Genomic DNA, 14,835 nt, shown 5'->3' on the forward strand with positions numbered 1-14,835 from the left:
GTTGGGGCCCTGGATCGTGGGCGCTGGGCGGGCCGGGAAGAGGCAGGGCTGGGATCCGCGCAGTCCTCGGCGTGGACTTTCCCAACCCGTCTGTTGTGTGTGGATGTTCTCCGCCCGTCTTCCTCGCCTTTTAAAGTGGAATCCAGTAACGGTTTCCGGCGTAGCACTAATTTACAGTCCACGCCTGTGGATCGATTCCGTCACCAGGAATTCCAGCGCCTTCCAGTTAGGGTGGTTATTGCCGAGTAGGGGGCCCAGAACGTTTCTGTGTCCGCAAAATACCCTGTAGCTGCATTTTGCTGTTGTCATGTAGCTCGGCACGTTATTGATACAGTCATTGAGCACCCCCTGTAGTGCGGCCTTGTTTCAGGTTCTGCTAAGGATAGGATAGCATCTCCTCCCGAAAACCAGACCTTGTGTCCTTCAGCTTTTGGGCTGATGTTTTTTTCTCCTAGCCCTCGCCTAGGAGCTTAGCCCACACCTTTTAGGTTGTTGTTTTTTCGGTTATTTTTGAGACAGAGATCTCGCTCTGTCGCCCAGGCTGGAGTGCAATGGTCTTGGCTCACTGCAACCTCCGCCTCCCGGGTTCAAGCGATTCTCCTGCCTCAGCCTCCTGAGTAGCTGGGATTACGGGTGCGCGCCACCACACCCAGCTAATTTTTGTATTTTTAGTAGAGACGGGGTTTCACCATGTTGGCCAGGATGGTCTCCATCTCTTGACCTTGTGATCCGCCTGCCTCGGCCTCCCAAAGTGCTGGGATTACAGGGCGTGAGCCACCGCGCCCGGCCATAAAACATATTTAAATGGGAAAATGTTTATCTTGAAAGGAGAACTCTGAAAGTATATACTTGTTAACTGGTTTGGTACCTGGAAATGTTCTACAAGGAGCCACTCTCTGGTGACAGCAGGAGCCCCGTGTCTGGGCAGCCACTGTGGCCTTTGGAGAGCTGGGCTGCTCCCTTTCTCCTGCAGAAGCTTCAGGCCATGGGATAGCAGCCAATGTACTTCTGTGTTTTGTTTTCTTCTTTTTTTTTTTTTTTTTTTTTTGTGACAATCTCGCTGTGTCGCCCAGGCTGGAGTGCAGTGGCCTGATCATGGCTCCCTGAAGCCTCTGCCTCCTGGGCCCAAGCAATCCTCCCACCTCAGCCTCCCAAAGTGCTGGGATTACAGACATGAGCCACCGTGCCTGGCCACTATCGTGATTTTTTGTTTGTTTATTTGTTTGTTTTTTGAGATGGAGTTTCCCTTTGTTGCCCAGCCTGGAGTGCAGTGGTGCTATCTCGGCTTACTGCAACCTCTGCCTCCCGGGTTCAAGCGATTCTCCTGCCTCAGCTTCCTGAGTAGCTGAGATTACAGGTGTGCACCACCACGCCCGGCTAATTTTTGTATTTTTAGTAGAGATGAGGTTTCACCATGTTGGCCAGGCTGGTCTCAAACTCCTGACTTCATGTGATCCACCCGCCTCAGCCTCCCAAAGTGTTGGGATTACAGCCGTGAGCCACCACGCCTGGCCAATTACTGTGTTTTAACCTGTTTACTTGCTTTTGACATTTTGATGTTACCTAAAGCTTTGACCTATTGCTCAGACTATTACTTTATATTTCAGGGCAATGTAGATATTACAAATAATTATATATTTGAACTTTTAAAAACGATTTTTAGTCTGCATTGCTTTGGTACTCTCTAATGTTGGTGTGACCTCCAGTATTGTTTTTTTTTTTTTTTCAGAGCTTACAATTGAGACTGCTAACCCCTACCTTTGAAGGGATCAACGGATTGTTGTTGAAACAACATTTAGTTCAGAATCCAGTCAGACTCTGGCAACTTTTAGGTATGTATCTGTTTAAAGAAGCAGCTGAGCATGACTGCACACTTACCGCCTCAGCTACTTGGGAGGCTGATCTTTTTTTATTTTAGAGACGGGATCTCGCCCTGTTGCACGGGCTGGAGTGCAGTACAATGGTGTGATCAGAGCTCACTACAGCCTAGAACTCCTGGGCTCAAGGGATCCTCCCCACTTTGCTTCCGGAGTAGCTAGGACTACAGGCGTGTACCGTCACACTCGGCTAATTGTTTTTTGTAGAGACAAGGTCTCACTTTGTTGTCCAGGCCCAAAGGGGCCTCTTTACTCCCTTATCCCCCAGTTGCAGAGCCTTGACCTCTTAGGCTGGAGTGATCCTCCCACCTCAGCCTTCCATAGAGCCAGGACTCCAGGCACACACCAAAGCGCCTAGCTAATTTTTGGGGGGTATTTTTTGTGGAGATGGGGTTTTGCCACGTTTCCCAGGCTGGTCTTAAACTCCTGGACTCAAGCGATCAGCCTGCCTTGGCCTCCCAAAGTGTTGAGATCACAGGCATGAGCCACCGCATCTGGCCAAGTTGTCCTTTTTTAAAAAAAATTCTGCTGTATTCCAGTAATTGGGCTGCTTGAAAAAGGTTTTTCGTGTTATCTAGTCAGCTGCAAGAATGTTTAGTAAGGATTTACAAAGTGGCTACAGATGTTTTATATCCACACAATCACTAAAAATACCCTGCAAATAATTTGCTCTTCAATAAATCATTTAATGAAACCTTGTGACATTCTTTGGTCTCTCTTGGCTTTAGGTTAAAGAACCTGAAGGATTGACACCTCTCACTTTTATTTCACGCTCCCCTTTATGGAGTTGGAACAGGGAAAAAGTAAAATATTTCTACTCCTAACTAACATTAAACAGCTTTGTGCCAACACATGGGTAGGGAGAGTGCCGTGCCCACTGGCCGTGCATCAGCAACTGGCTCATCTGCTGTCAGTGTTTAACGTCAGCTCACGGGTGCCTGTGGCTGTGAAACAGGAAGCACATGCTTCAGCCTCCTTAAGCCTGAGGTGACATGCAAGTGGCAACCGGGGCCGTTTCACTGGTGAACCCGTTCATGTCTTTGTGAAGAAAGTTACATTTCAGGTCATGGTTGTGAAACTCTTTCCCTATTTTTATTATTTTTTATTATTATTTGAGATAGGGTCTTGCCCTGTTGCCCAGGTGCAATCTCTACTCACTGCAGCTTCAACCTCCTGGGCCCAGGTTCTCCTCCCACTCAGCGTCCTGAGTAGCTGGGAAGTCAGGCATGTGTCACCACGTACAGCTACATTTTTGTGTTGTTGTTGTTGTTGTTGTTTATTATTATTTTTTTGAGACGGAGTCTTGCTCTGTCTCCCAGGCTGGAGTGCAGTGGCGCGATCTCCGCTCACTGCAAGCTCTGCCTCCAGGATTCCCGCCATTCTCCTGCCTCAGCCTCCCAAGTAGCTGGGATTACAGGTGCCCGCCACTATGCCCGGCTAATTTTTTGTATTTTTAGTAGAGACGGGGTTTCACCATGTTAGCCAGGATGGTCTCGATCTCCTGACCTCGTGATCCACCCGACTCGGCCTCCCAAAGTGCTGGGATTACAGGCGTGCGCCACTGCACCTGGCCTCCCCCATTTGTAAACGCTGATTTGTTCAGATTTTGAGACAGCTCTGTGTGAGGAGTGTCGTGCCGGCCCCTCTTGGTGGTGGCTGGGCTGCTGCTGTTGCCACTTGTCTGGAAACCATTTGTGAGTCGGAGTCTTGCTCTGTAAACCAGGCTGGAGTGCAGTGGTGTGATCTCAGCTCACTGCAACCTCCGCCTCCCGGGTTCAAGCAATTCTGCCTCAGCCTCCCAAGTAGCTGGGATTACAAGCGCCTGCCAACACGTCCGGCTAATTTTTGTATTTTTAGTGGAGACAGTGTTTCACCATCTCAGCCAGTCTGGTCTTGAACTCCTGACCTCGTGAACCACCTGCCTCGGTCTCCCAAAGTGCTGGGATTACAGGCATGAGCCACCACGCCTGGCGTGTTTAAGTTCTTTTAAAGCAACTTCATATATTAAAGGGATTCGTGATATTTTCCCAAATTTGTGTTCATAACTATTTTTTATTCCCTCACATTAGCAATTTAAGTAGCAAAGATATTTAACGTAAGTTAAAATAGTTTATTATTTTGTAATTAGGAAATACTGGACTAAGTGATATAGGATATGCTTTATTTCATATTTATAAATCTTATGGATATAAGTAGGTTTTTCAGATGGTTTTTGTTTTGCTTTGGTTATTTAGGAGTACACTGTTGTCCTGTATGCCTCCCCTGTGGTTGCAAAACTTAATTGTTAAATCCTTTCTCTATTTCTCATAGGTGGTACTTTCTATTTTAACACCTCAAGGTTGAAGCAGAAGAATAAGGAGAAGGATAAGTCGAAGGGGAAGGCGCCTGAAGAGGACGAAGGTATATTCATCTGATGTTCTTCAGTCAGTAGCTGCCTCTGGATGTCTTTACATTTCTGTTTTCCTTTTAGCAAGGTGAAACCAGTCTGGAAAATGGGGAGATGGGCCGGGTGCAGTGGCTCACACTTGTAATCGAAACGCTTTGGGAGGCCCAGGTGGAAGGATCACTTGAGGCCTATACCACATAGCGAGACCCTGTCTCACTGCAAATTAAAAGGCTGGGCGTGGTGGCTCACACCTGTAATCCCAGCACTTTGGGAGGCTGAGGCAGGCGGATCACCTGCACCCTGGCCAACATGGTGAAACCCCGTCTTTACTAAAAATAGAAAATTAGCCGGGCGTGATGGCACACGCCTGTAATCCCAGCTACTCGGGAGGCTGAGGCAGGAGAATTGCTTGAACCTGGGAGGTGGAGGTTGCTGTGAGTGGAGATCATGCCATTGCACTCCAGCCTGAGCAACAAGAGCAAAACTCCATCTCAAAAAAAAAAAAATTTAAATTTAAATTTAAAAAGACCCTATCTATACAGAAAGAAAAGAAGAAAATAATTGGCCAGGCGTGGTGGTGTGCACCTGTAGTCATAGCTCAGGAGTTGGAGGAGCTTGAGCCCAGGAGTTGGAGGCTCAGCTTCAGACTCACAGCCCCAGGGGGCAGAAGGGTTGAACTCAGCTTCAGGAATGCTTTGCTTTTGGATCCTTGAGGCCTCTCGCTGGAAATCAGCGTTGTTAAGATGGACGCCCTGCTCAGCAGAGCTCATCTTTCTAGAAAGGCACCTGGCCTTGGAAGGCGAGTGAGGAACTGTCATAAGGACTTTTTCTTCCCATGTTGCTTTTCAGGAAAGCTTTCAGGATGTGGAAATGATGGTTCAGCTATTGGATGAGGGGATTATTATTGTGAATTCGAGTTTAGCAGGAGTTTGTTTCAGGAGTGACGTCCTTCTTGATTGATTTTGTGTGAGACGCTGCATTTGCCAAGGCCAGGGACAGCTTTACTCTGTGAGAGAGGAGCTCTGACTCTCCCTACTGAGCTCTCGAGGGGAGGTCATAACTGCGGGAAGGGACACCAGTGTTTCGCAGGTGGATTCAGTTTAGGCGTTTCTGGCTTTAGGCTCATCTTCAGCTTACTGTTGGTTTTACGGTAAGTGTCAATGCTTACAGCCACTCAGAACTATCTTCTAAAAGACTTCTGAATCTTCATACAAAATTGTTCTGAATTGATTTCAGGGCTCTTTCCCTGTATACTTCAACATTTCAATAAAGTGTGTCCTTTGACTTTTTTTTTTTTTTTTTTTTTTTTTTTTTTTTGCCAGAATCTCACTCTGTTGCCCCGGCTGGAGTGCAGTGGTGCGATCTCAGCTCAATGCAACCTCCCCCTCCCGGGTTCAAGCAATTCTCCTGCCTCAGCCTCCGAAGTAGCTGGGATTACAGGTGCTCACCACCACACCCTGCTAATTTTTTGTTTTTTGTTCGTTTGTTTGTTTTTGAGACGGAGTCTCGCTCTGTCGCCCAGGCTGGAGTGCAGTGGCACAATCTCGGCTCACTGCAAGCTCCACTTCCTGGGTTCATGCCATTCTCCTGCCTCAGCCTCCCTAGTAGCTGGGACTACAGGCACCCGCCACCGCACCCGGCTAATTTTTTTGTTTTATTAGAGACTGGGTTTCACCATGTTAGCCAGGATGGTCTCGATCTCCTGACCTTGTGATCTGCTCACCTTGGCCTCCCAAAGTTCTAGGATTACAGGCGTGAGCCACCGCGTCAGGCCCTCTTTTTGTATAGTAGAGATGAGGTTTTGTCTTGTTGGCCAGGCTGGTCTCAAACTCCTGACCTCAGGTGATTCACCCACCTTGGCCTCCCAAAGTGCTGAGATTACAGGTGTGAACCACCGTGCCTGGCCTTGACCTTTTTTTTTTTTTTTTTTTGAGACGGAGTCTCGCTCTGTCGCCTGGGCTGGAGTGCAGTGGTGTGATCTCAGCTCACTGCAAGCTCCGTCTCCCAGGTTCACGCCATTCTCCTGCCTTAGCCTCCCGAGTAGCTGGGACTACAGGTGCCCGCCACCATACCCGGCTCATTTTTTGTATTTTTAGTAGAGACTCGGTTTCACCGTGTTAGCCAGGATGGTCTCAATCTCCTGACCTCGTGATCTGCGTGCCTCAGCCTCCCAAAGTGCTGGGATTACAGGAGTGGGCCACCGCACCCAGCCCTGGACCTTTTTTTTTTTTAACTTTTATTTTGTATTTATTTATTTATTTTTGAAACGGAGTCTCGCTCTGTTGCCCAGACTGGAGTCCAGTGGTGCGATGTCGGCTCAGTGCAACCCCTGCCTCCTGAGTTCAAGCGATTCTCCTGCCTCAGCCTCCTGAGTAGCTGGGATTACAGGCATGCACCACCATGCCCAGCTAATTTTTGTATTTTCAGTAGATACAGGGTTTTGCCATGTTGGCCAGACTGGTCTTGAACTCCTGACCTCGTGATCTCCCCACTTCGGCCTCCCAAAGTGCTGGGATTACAGGTGTGAGCCACCACGCCCGGCTGACCTTTTTATAAAAAAAAATTTGCTGGGTAGGTGCGGTGGCTCACACCTGTAATCTGAGCACTTTGGGAGGCCAAGGTGGGATGATCACTTGAGCCCAGGAGTTTAAGACCCTCATTTCTATTATTATTATTACTATTATTATTATTATTTTTTTTTTTGAGATGGGGTCTCGCTCTGTCGCCAGGCTAGAGTGCAATGGCACGATCTCGGCTCACTGCAACCTCTGCTTCCTGGGTTCAGGCGATTCTCCTGCCTCAGCCTCTCGAGTAGCTGGGACTACAGGCGTGCGCCACCACGCCCAGCTAATTTTTTGTATTTTTAGCAGAGACAGGGTTTCACCATGTTGGCAAGGATGGTCTCAAACTCCCGATGTCAGGCGATCTGCCCATCTTGGCCTTCCAAAGTGCTGGGATTACAGGTGTGAGCCACCGTGCCCAGCCTGGAGTTTCACTCTTGTTTCCCAGGCTAGAGTGCAATGGCGTAATTTCAGATCACTGGAACCTCTGCCTCCTGGGTTCCAGTGATTCTCCTGCCTCAACCTCACGAATAGCTGGGATCACAGGCATGCAACACCAAGCCCAGCTAATTTTTGTAGTTTTGGTAGAGACCTGGTTTGGCCACGTTGGTCAGGCTAGTCTCAAACTTCTCACCTCAGGTGATCCACTCGCCTTGGTCTCCGAAAGTGCTGGGATTACAGGTGTGAGCCACCACGCCCGGCCGTTCGTTTTTTTAATAAAAGAAGAAAGTTAGATCACTTGGGGCCAGGAGTTCGAGACCAGCCTGGCTAACATGGTGAAACCCCTTGTCTACTAAAAATACCAAAAAAAAAAAAAATTAGCCAGGTGTGGTGTACGTGCTTGTAATCCCAGCTACTCCGGAGTCTGAGGCGTGAGCATCGTTTGAACCTGGTAGGCAGAGGTTGCAGGGAGCTGAGATTGTGCCATTGCACTTCAGCCTGGATAATAGAGTGAGACCTTTCTGTCTCAAACATAAAAAATTAAGAAAGAAAAGGCCGGGCGTGGTGGCTCATGCCTGTCATCCCAGCACTTTGGGAGGCCAAGGCGAGCAGATCACAAGGTCAGGAGATCGAGACCATTTTAGCTAACACGGTGAAACCCTGTCTCTACTAAAAATACAAAAAAAAAAAAAAATTAGGCGTGGTGGTGGGCACCTGTAACCCCAGCTAGTCGGGAGGCTGAGGCAGGAGAATGGCGTGAACCCAAGAGGCGAAGCTTGCAGTGAGCCGAGATCGCGCCACTGCACTCCAGCCTGGGCGACACAGCAAGACTCTGTCTCAAAAAAAAAAATTAAGAAAGAAAAAAGCGACGGCGAGACTCTTGTCTCAAAAAAAAAGAAAAAAGAAAAAAGTCGTAAGAGAAAATATATTTCCTATTTATGCAGTGGAAGCGGATCACCATAAAGAGCTTCATCCTCATGGCCTTCACCTTGAGTGGGCTGAGGAGGAGGACGAGGGGCTGGTCTTGTTGTCTTGGGTAGCAGGGGTGGAAGAAAATCCACGTGTCCGTGATCATACATAGCTCACTCCTGTGTTGCTGAAGGGTCACCTGTCATAGAAGAGGGAAGAATTGTGTGGCCTGTGCGGATTCTGCATTCAGCCTTGTGTGTTGTGTTACGGTTAACCAGGGACGTGTGCCCCACTAATAACTCTGATTCCTGGAAGGAATGGCATGGCAGCCTCCGTTGTCATGGTTCCTGGAGGGAATGGCATGGCAGCCTCCGTTGTCATGGTTCCTGGAAGGAATGGCATGGCAGCCTCCGTTGTCATGGTTCCTGGAAGGAATGGCATGGCAGCCTCCGTTGCCATGGCAAGGCAAAGCCATGGCAGCTTCCTGGTTATCACTCCTGGCATGTGGTAGGTGCTTGTCCAGTGAAATCCTAGTCGTTGCTGCATTGGCAGGTGCCCTGGCGTGAGGAAGGGCAGGCAGTCACCATGCCCTTTGCTCTCCTGGGCCCTGCATCTGCTTATGGATGAGGCTGCGTGTAGCTGACATGCGTGTCTCTCCTGCATCTGAGTAATTGTCGTCGTCTTTTTTTTTTTTTTTTTTTTGAGATGGAGCTTCGCTCTTGTTGCCGAAGTTGGAGTGCAATGCCACGATCTCGGCTCATTGCAAACTCCACCTCGTGGGTTCAAGCAGTTCTCCTGCCTCAGCCTCCCGAGTAACTGGGACTAAAGGTGCCCGCAACCATGCCCGGCTAATTTTTTGTGTTTTTAGTAGAGACGGAGTTTCACCATGTGAGCTAGGATGATCTCGATCTCCTGACGTTGTGGTCTGCCCACCTCGGCCTCCCAAAGTGCTGGGATTATAGGCGTGAGCCACCACGCCCGGCCAAGTGATTGTTTTATGTTTATTCTGTTTTGGGTTGAACTATAGTTTGCTTGGAGAAAATAATGTCTGTTAAATTTGCGTTAGAGGATAATTGTTTACTGAGCCAAATAATCTTTCTTGTGAGAACCTATTCTGGGTTTCCCCTGGGCCCTCTGCTGTGGTTTCGGCGGGAGTTGGTTTGTGTGGATTTTCAGGACTGCTGACTTGATCAGACAGGCACAACACAGTCCCGGCCCTCAGGCAGGCCTTCTCCCTGGTCTGATGCTGAACTGCATGGCGTCTGTTCAGATGAAGATTCTTTTGCCACCTCCTTAAATGAAAGAACGATACTGAATGTGGCTTAGAAACAGCTTTGCCAGCCGTGCAGAATGATTGTAAGTAGTGGTTGCCCGAAAAGTATTTGCTTGGAATACCACTCACTGATAACACTGGTGAACCTGGAAGGAATTATACGGAGTGAAAAAAGGCACCACTCACTGATAACACGAATGAACCTGGAAGGAATTATACGGAGTGAAAAAAGGCTCCGCTCACTGATAACGCGGGTGAACCTGGAAGGAATTACACGGAGTGAAAAAAGACCCTGCTCACTGGTAAGGCGGGTGAACCCAGAAGGAATTACACAGAGTGGAAAAAAGACTCCGCTCACTGATAACGCGGGTGAACCCAGAAGGAATTACACGGAGTGGAAAAAAGGCCCCGCTCACTGATAACGCGGGTGAACCCAGAAGGAATTATACGGAGTGAAAAAAGGCCGAGCTGAAAGATCACATGCCGTATGATTTTTTTTTTATACAGCATTCTCTAAAGACAAAAATTAAAGAGATGGAACACAGATTCGTGGTTGCTAGGGGTTAAGGATGGGGGAAGGAGACAGCCGGAGGGAGCCTGTGGTTGGATTGCCTCAGCTGCGGTGGGCACACACTGCGCGTGTGTCATGGGATGACCCCGGGGAGCTTGGTGGACCGTCGTGGTGGGAGAGCCTGGCTGTGATACTGTTCATAGTTTTGTGAGATGGAACCCCTGGAAGCAGGGGGACAAGGTATTGCTCTGCGTCATTTATTTTTATTTATTTATTTTTTTTTGAGATGGGGTCTGGCTCTGTCACCCAGGATGGAGTGCAGTGGCTCGATCTCTGCTCACTGCAACCTCCACCTCCCGGGTTCAAGCGATTCTCCTGCCTCAGCCTCCTGAGTAGCTGGGATTACAGGCGCGTGCCACCACACCCAGCTAATTTTGTTTGTTTTTAGTAGAGATGGGGTTTCAGTATGTTGGTCAGGCTGGTCTCGAACTCCTGACCTCATCATCTGCCTGCCTCGGTCCCCACAAAGTGCTGGGATTACAGGTGTGAGCCACTGCGCCCAGCCTGCTCTGTGCCATTTCTTACAACTACATGTGAAGGTACAGTTACTTCACGGTTGCTAACTAGAACTAGAAAACTAGAAAAAAAGCAGTTGCTAACATTTTTTTTTTCTTTTTTTGAGACGGAATTTCGCTCTTGTTGCCCAGCCTGGAGTGCAGTGGCGCGATCTCAGCTCACCGCAACCTCCGCCTCCCGGGTTCAAGCCATTCTGTTGCCTTAGCTTCCCGAGTAGCTGGGATTACAGGCATGCGTCACCACACCTGGCTGATTTTTTGTATTTTTAGTAAAGATGGGGTTTCTGCATGTTGGTCAGGCTTGTCTCAGACTCCCGACCTCAGGTGATGCACCCGCCTCAGCCTCCCGAAGTGCTGGGATGACAGGCGTGAGCCACCGCGCCCGGCAGCAGTTGCTAACATTTTCACACAGCTTCTTGTGGAGAAGGCCCCTTTCCACTGTGAAGTGTGAATGCGTCAAGGTGGAGCCCCTGCCCCGGAGGCCTCTCCTCTGTCAGGGTCAGCTGTGGCGCTCGGGGCTGCTGTCTTCAGGGGCGGTTTCCAAGTGGGATGAGCCTGATGTGGCCCCTGTGGCTGCTTCCTTGAGACTCAGTGGTATCAGCCGTTTGTTTTTAGATGACTGATTGAAGTGAGTTATGTGATCATAATATCTAATTGTCAACAATTGACTTTTTTTCCTCGAAGAGGGATTTTGGCAACAAAACTTGCCAGTGGTCCTGCAGGCTGCCGTCCACGAGGTGTGCATATGAGGCTCAGGAGGCATGTGCGTTTCCTGAGCGCCTTGGCGGACAGCCTCAGGAACACAGGCAGCAGGTGCTGAGGTCACACCCCAGTTCTGTGTGAGCTGGCGGCTCGTCTCAGCATCCTGAATAACCGTCCTGGAAGCACACAGGAGGAAGGTACCTGCAGCCCTGGGTGCGCAGGCACAAATGACCACAACACTGAAGGCGTGGCGGGAAGAGGTGCATCGGGCAGCGCAGTGGAAGGGACGCGCTGGGCGTTTGGGTTGAACAGAAGTTAAGGACTTCATGGGAAGGAGATGGGGGGTCTTGCAGGCAGAGGAAGTTCCTTTTATACCTAGAGTGCTTTTGTTTGTTTGTTTGTTTGTTTGTTTGTTTTGAGATGGAGTTTCACTCTTCGTTGCCCAGGCAGGAGTGAAGTGGCGCGATCTCAGCCCACTGCAACCTCCGCCCGCCATGTTTAAGCGATTCTCCTGCGTTAGCCTCCCTAGTAGCTGGGCTTACAGGCGCGTGGTACCACGCCCAGCTAATTTTTGTATTTTTAGTAGAGACAGGGTTTCACCATGTTGGCCAGGCTGGTGTTGAACTCCTGACCTCAGGTGATCCACTCACCTCAGCCTCCCAAAGTGCCTGGATGACAGTCGTAAGCCACTGCGCCCAGCCCCAGCTACGTTGTGTTTTTTTTTTCCCCCTGTAGAGATGGGTTTTCGCTATGTTGCCCAGGCTGGTTTCTAACTCCTGGACTCAAGTGATCCACCTGTCTCGACTCCCAAAGTGCTGGGATGACAGGTGTGAGCCATTGCGTCCGGCTGGAATTTCTTATGGTTCGTTTCCTTAGGTTAAAGTTTCAGAAGTAGGATTTTTGAATTAAAGAAACTAAATACTGTCTATGGCGCTTGATACATCTTGCCAGGCAGTTATCAGACAGGGTTGTACTGGTTTGCGCCACCCCAGAACGTGTGCAAGGCCTGTTTGTGGACCCTCCTTGGCCTGGCTCTCTAGGTCATCCACCTGCGTGTGCTCACAGAGCATATGGATTTTTCCCTGCGGTGCCTTCACTTGTGGCTGGAAGAGCCTTCTCTGTGATCCTGTGTCCTGGGTGCTCTGTTGGCCTCCTTCTTGCCACCGAGGAAGACACGGAGGCTAGAGAGGGCTCACTGAACAGTGAAATGATTGGAACCTAAGGAGCTTCAGCAGAAGGTGTCATGATGGGGCTAGGCTCTCCCGAGGGCTGTGTGGCCTCAGCGTCTTGTTGGGCAGATCCTGCTCCCTGACACAGCGGGGCTAAGAGCCAGCCTGTGTCACACACCTGTGAATTAACATGCCTGGCTGACCCTCACTGGAGAAGGGCTACACGTTTGTGACGAAAGCAGAAGAGGTGTTTATTGTAGACCAAATCCAAGCTGTCATTTTACTTTTATTAGAAATTATTTGGGATTTGGCTCATGCCTATAATCCCAGCACTTTGGGAGGCTGAGGTGGGAGAATCACCTGAGCTCAGTCGTTTGAGACTGCCTTGGCAACATAGTGAGACCTCATCTTCTACTCAAATTTAAAAAATTAGCCGGGCGCAGTGGCGTGCACCTGTACTCCCAGCTACTCAGGAGGCTCAGTTGGGAGGATCACTTGAGCCCAGGAGGTGGAGGCTGCAGTGAGCCCAGATATGCTCATGAAGCACTGTGGGTTTCTCCTGCAGTGCACCACCGCACTCCAGCCTGGGTGACGGAGAGAGACCCCATCTCAACAAAAATAAAAAAGAAAAGAAAATGGGACACTGTTGATACAGTCACAGAGCTGAAGGAGCAGCATGGGTCGTGATTCTGGATCGTCCCTCCAGGGCAGCTAGAGTAGCTGCTGGGAAGTATTTCTCTCAGTTTCCCGGGAGCAGTGTGGGTCGTGATTCTGGATTGGCCCTCCAGGGCAGCTAGAGTAGCTGCTGGGAAGTATTTCTCAGTTTCCCAGTGCACCCCATGTTTCTAGTAGAAAACACAATTGGTAATTAAATATTGGAAGTAGTTTCTAACAATTGGATACTCACCTGAGAACATAAATTTGCTCTCTGAAATAAGCGGTGGGCTTTAAATAATTGCCTTTGTGAATATGAAATTTAAGTATTAGATGCACGATTAGGATCGATTGTAACAAAACAGTGATATCTAAAATATACCTTCATGTTTTCAAAGTAATTATTTTGCCACCTTTTTAGTGGGTTTCATTTTGTGTTTTTAAGCCGATTTAAAAATTGTTTGAATTCGTCTAAAATGATTGTTGGAAAGGAAGGTGGTACATGGGACGTGCCCAGGCCAGGCTTTGATCCCAGCATGAAGCCCCCGCAAGACAATGCAGGAGGAGAAGAGCTGTGAATCTCAAGAAGACGTGAGCCTCTCGTCCCGGCTGCTGGGTCCGTGGCGGTTTGTCCGCAGGCGCAGGTGTTCTGGAAATGACGTCGTTACCACCGCTGGGTCTGTGGCGGTTTGTCCGCAGGCGCTGGTGTTCTGGAAATGACGTCGTTCCCGCCGCTGGGTCCGTGGCGCTGTGTCCGCAGGCGCAGGGGCGCAGGTGTTCTGGAGATGATGTCGTTCCCGCTGCTGTGTCCGTGGTGGTTTGTCCGCAGGCGCAGGTGTTCTGCAGATGACGCCCTTCCCAGAACTGGAGGAGAGACTGACCTGCCTAGGGGGTTTGAGGGAAGACTGTGGCTTGGCCTGTGGTGGTCACTGTTGGGAGCCTGTCTGGCTGCAGGACTACTCCCCACCTGGGCCCTGGACTGTGGGAAGTGACCCCTGCGGGCATTTTGCCCAGTGGCCATCCTGGCTGTCCTTTTCCCCACCATGCCCTCCTCAGAGGCGTCTCCCTGGCTTCGCTGCCTGGCGCTGCTTGCCACGCCTCCTTGCAGGCCTCCATGAAGAGTGAGTGAGCGCCCGCTGCTCCAGATCCCCTCTGTGCTGGCCCCAGGCCGGCCTTGAGTCGGTCTCTTGCTGTCTGCAGGGTGCACCTGTCCACCTCCCCTCGAGGTATCCCAATGTCTGGAGAACAGGGGCCGAATGTCTTTTCCATCCTCTGAGAGCTAAGCATAATGCCACCGTGTCTTCAGTAGGGTGTTAATAACTGAGGAAGGTAATTTAGAAGAATTCACCTGGTGCTTCTCATAAAGAGTTGGTCTCTGGGAAAATTCTAGAGTCAAGTGGTCTGGAGTATATGCCTTTAGACTCAACAGTGTATCTCATGATATTTTTAAGTTCTATTTTCAGATGTTGTGATAACCTACAACTTTCTGTTAAATGTTAGTCATTCTGATGAGTAAAAAGTTCAGAATGGTTGTTGGGTAGGGAGAGAGAAGGCACAAGGGTCTTCAGTGGGATTGGGAAGGTATTATTTCTTGAGGCAGGTTGTGGTAAAAGGTATTTGTTTTAATCGTTTTTAATAACTTTTGTGTATGTTTTGATATTTAGTATTTGATCAAACTCCAAGCAACTGGATTCATGGCCATTGTGAGCTTGCACTTTGCAGCAGGAGAGCTGACTGCATCTGTGACGGCTCGGACGGCCTGGGACGGTCGTTTCTT

General features: G+C 49.5%; 1 protein-coding gene across 7 annotated transcripts in view, besides 5 other annotated features; it reads left to right on the top strand.

The window, feature by feature from the left end:
- SPG7 (SPG7 matrix AAA peptidase subunit, paraplegin) overlaps positions 1-14,835 on the top strand; it is a 49,381-nt gene that overhangs the window by 373 nt on the left and 34,173 nt on the right. For all 7 annotated transcript variants that reach the window (NM_001363850.1, XM_017023598.2, XM_047434538.1 and 4 more), the window contains exons 2-3: positions 1,730-1,832; positions 4,188-4,277. In NM_001363850.1, the coding sequence (NP_001350779.1) occupies positions 1,730-1,832; positions 4,188-4,277 (193 nt within the window). The remainder of the gene's footprint in view (positions 1-1,729; positions 1,833-4,187; positions 4,278-14,835) is intronic.
- Positions 17-136: a silencer, noted in NCBI's record as "silent region_7912". NCBI's record gives its function as "represses an Ori minimal core promoter by ATAC-STARR-seq in GM12878 lymphoblastoid cells {active_cell/tissue: GM12878}" and the evidence as "EXISTENCE:reporter gene assay evidence [ECO:0000049][PMID:35858748]".
- Positions 10,408-10,908: an enhancer, noted in NCBI's record as "H3K4me1 hESC enhancer chr16:89585576-89586076 (GRCh37/hg19 assembly coordinates)". NCBI's record gives its function as "activates a minimal SCP1, AML or CMV promoter by ChIP-STARR-seq in primed H9 embryonic stem cells {active_cell/tissue: H9 hESC(primed)}" and the evidence as "EXISTENCE:reporter gene assay evidence [ECO:0000049][PMID:30033119]".
- Positions 10,909-11,409: an enhancer, noted in NCBI's record as "H3K4me1 hESC enhancer chr16:89586077-89586577 (GRCh37/hg19 assembly coordinates)". NCBI's record gives its function as "activates a minimal SCP1, AML or CMV promoter by ChIP-STARR-seq in primed H9 embryonic stem cells {active_cell/tissue: H9 hESC(primed)}" and the evidence as "EXISTENCE:reporter gene assay evidence [ECO:0000049][PMID:30033119]".
- Positions 13,326-13,883: an enhancer, noted in NCBI's record as "NANOG-H3K4me1 hESC enhancer chr16:89588494-89589051 (GRCh37/hg19 assembly coordinates)". NCBI's record gives its function as "activates a minimal SCP1, AML or CMV promoter by ChIP-STARR-seq in naive and primed H9 embryonic stem cells {active_cell/tissue: H9 hESC(naive and primed)}" and the evidence as "EXISTENCE:reporter gene assay evidence [ECO:0000049][PMID:30033119]".
- Positions 13,884-14,440: an enhancer, noted in NCBI's record as "H3K4me1 hESC enhancer chr16:89589052-89589608 (GRCh37/hg19 assembly coordinates)". NCBI's record gives its function as "activates a minimal SCP1, AML or CMV promoter by ChIP-STARR-seq in naive H9 embryonic stem cells {active_cell/tissue: H9 hESC(naive)}" and the evidence as "EXISTENCE:reporter gene assay evidence [ECO:0000049][PMID:30033119]".

Source organism: Homo sapiens, chromosome 16, assembly GCF_000001405.40.
Source record: "Homo sapiens chromosome 16, GRCh38.p14 Primary Assembly".
NCBI lineage: Eukaryota > Metazoa > Chordata > Mammalia > Primates > Hominidae > Homo > Homo sapiens.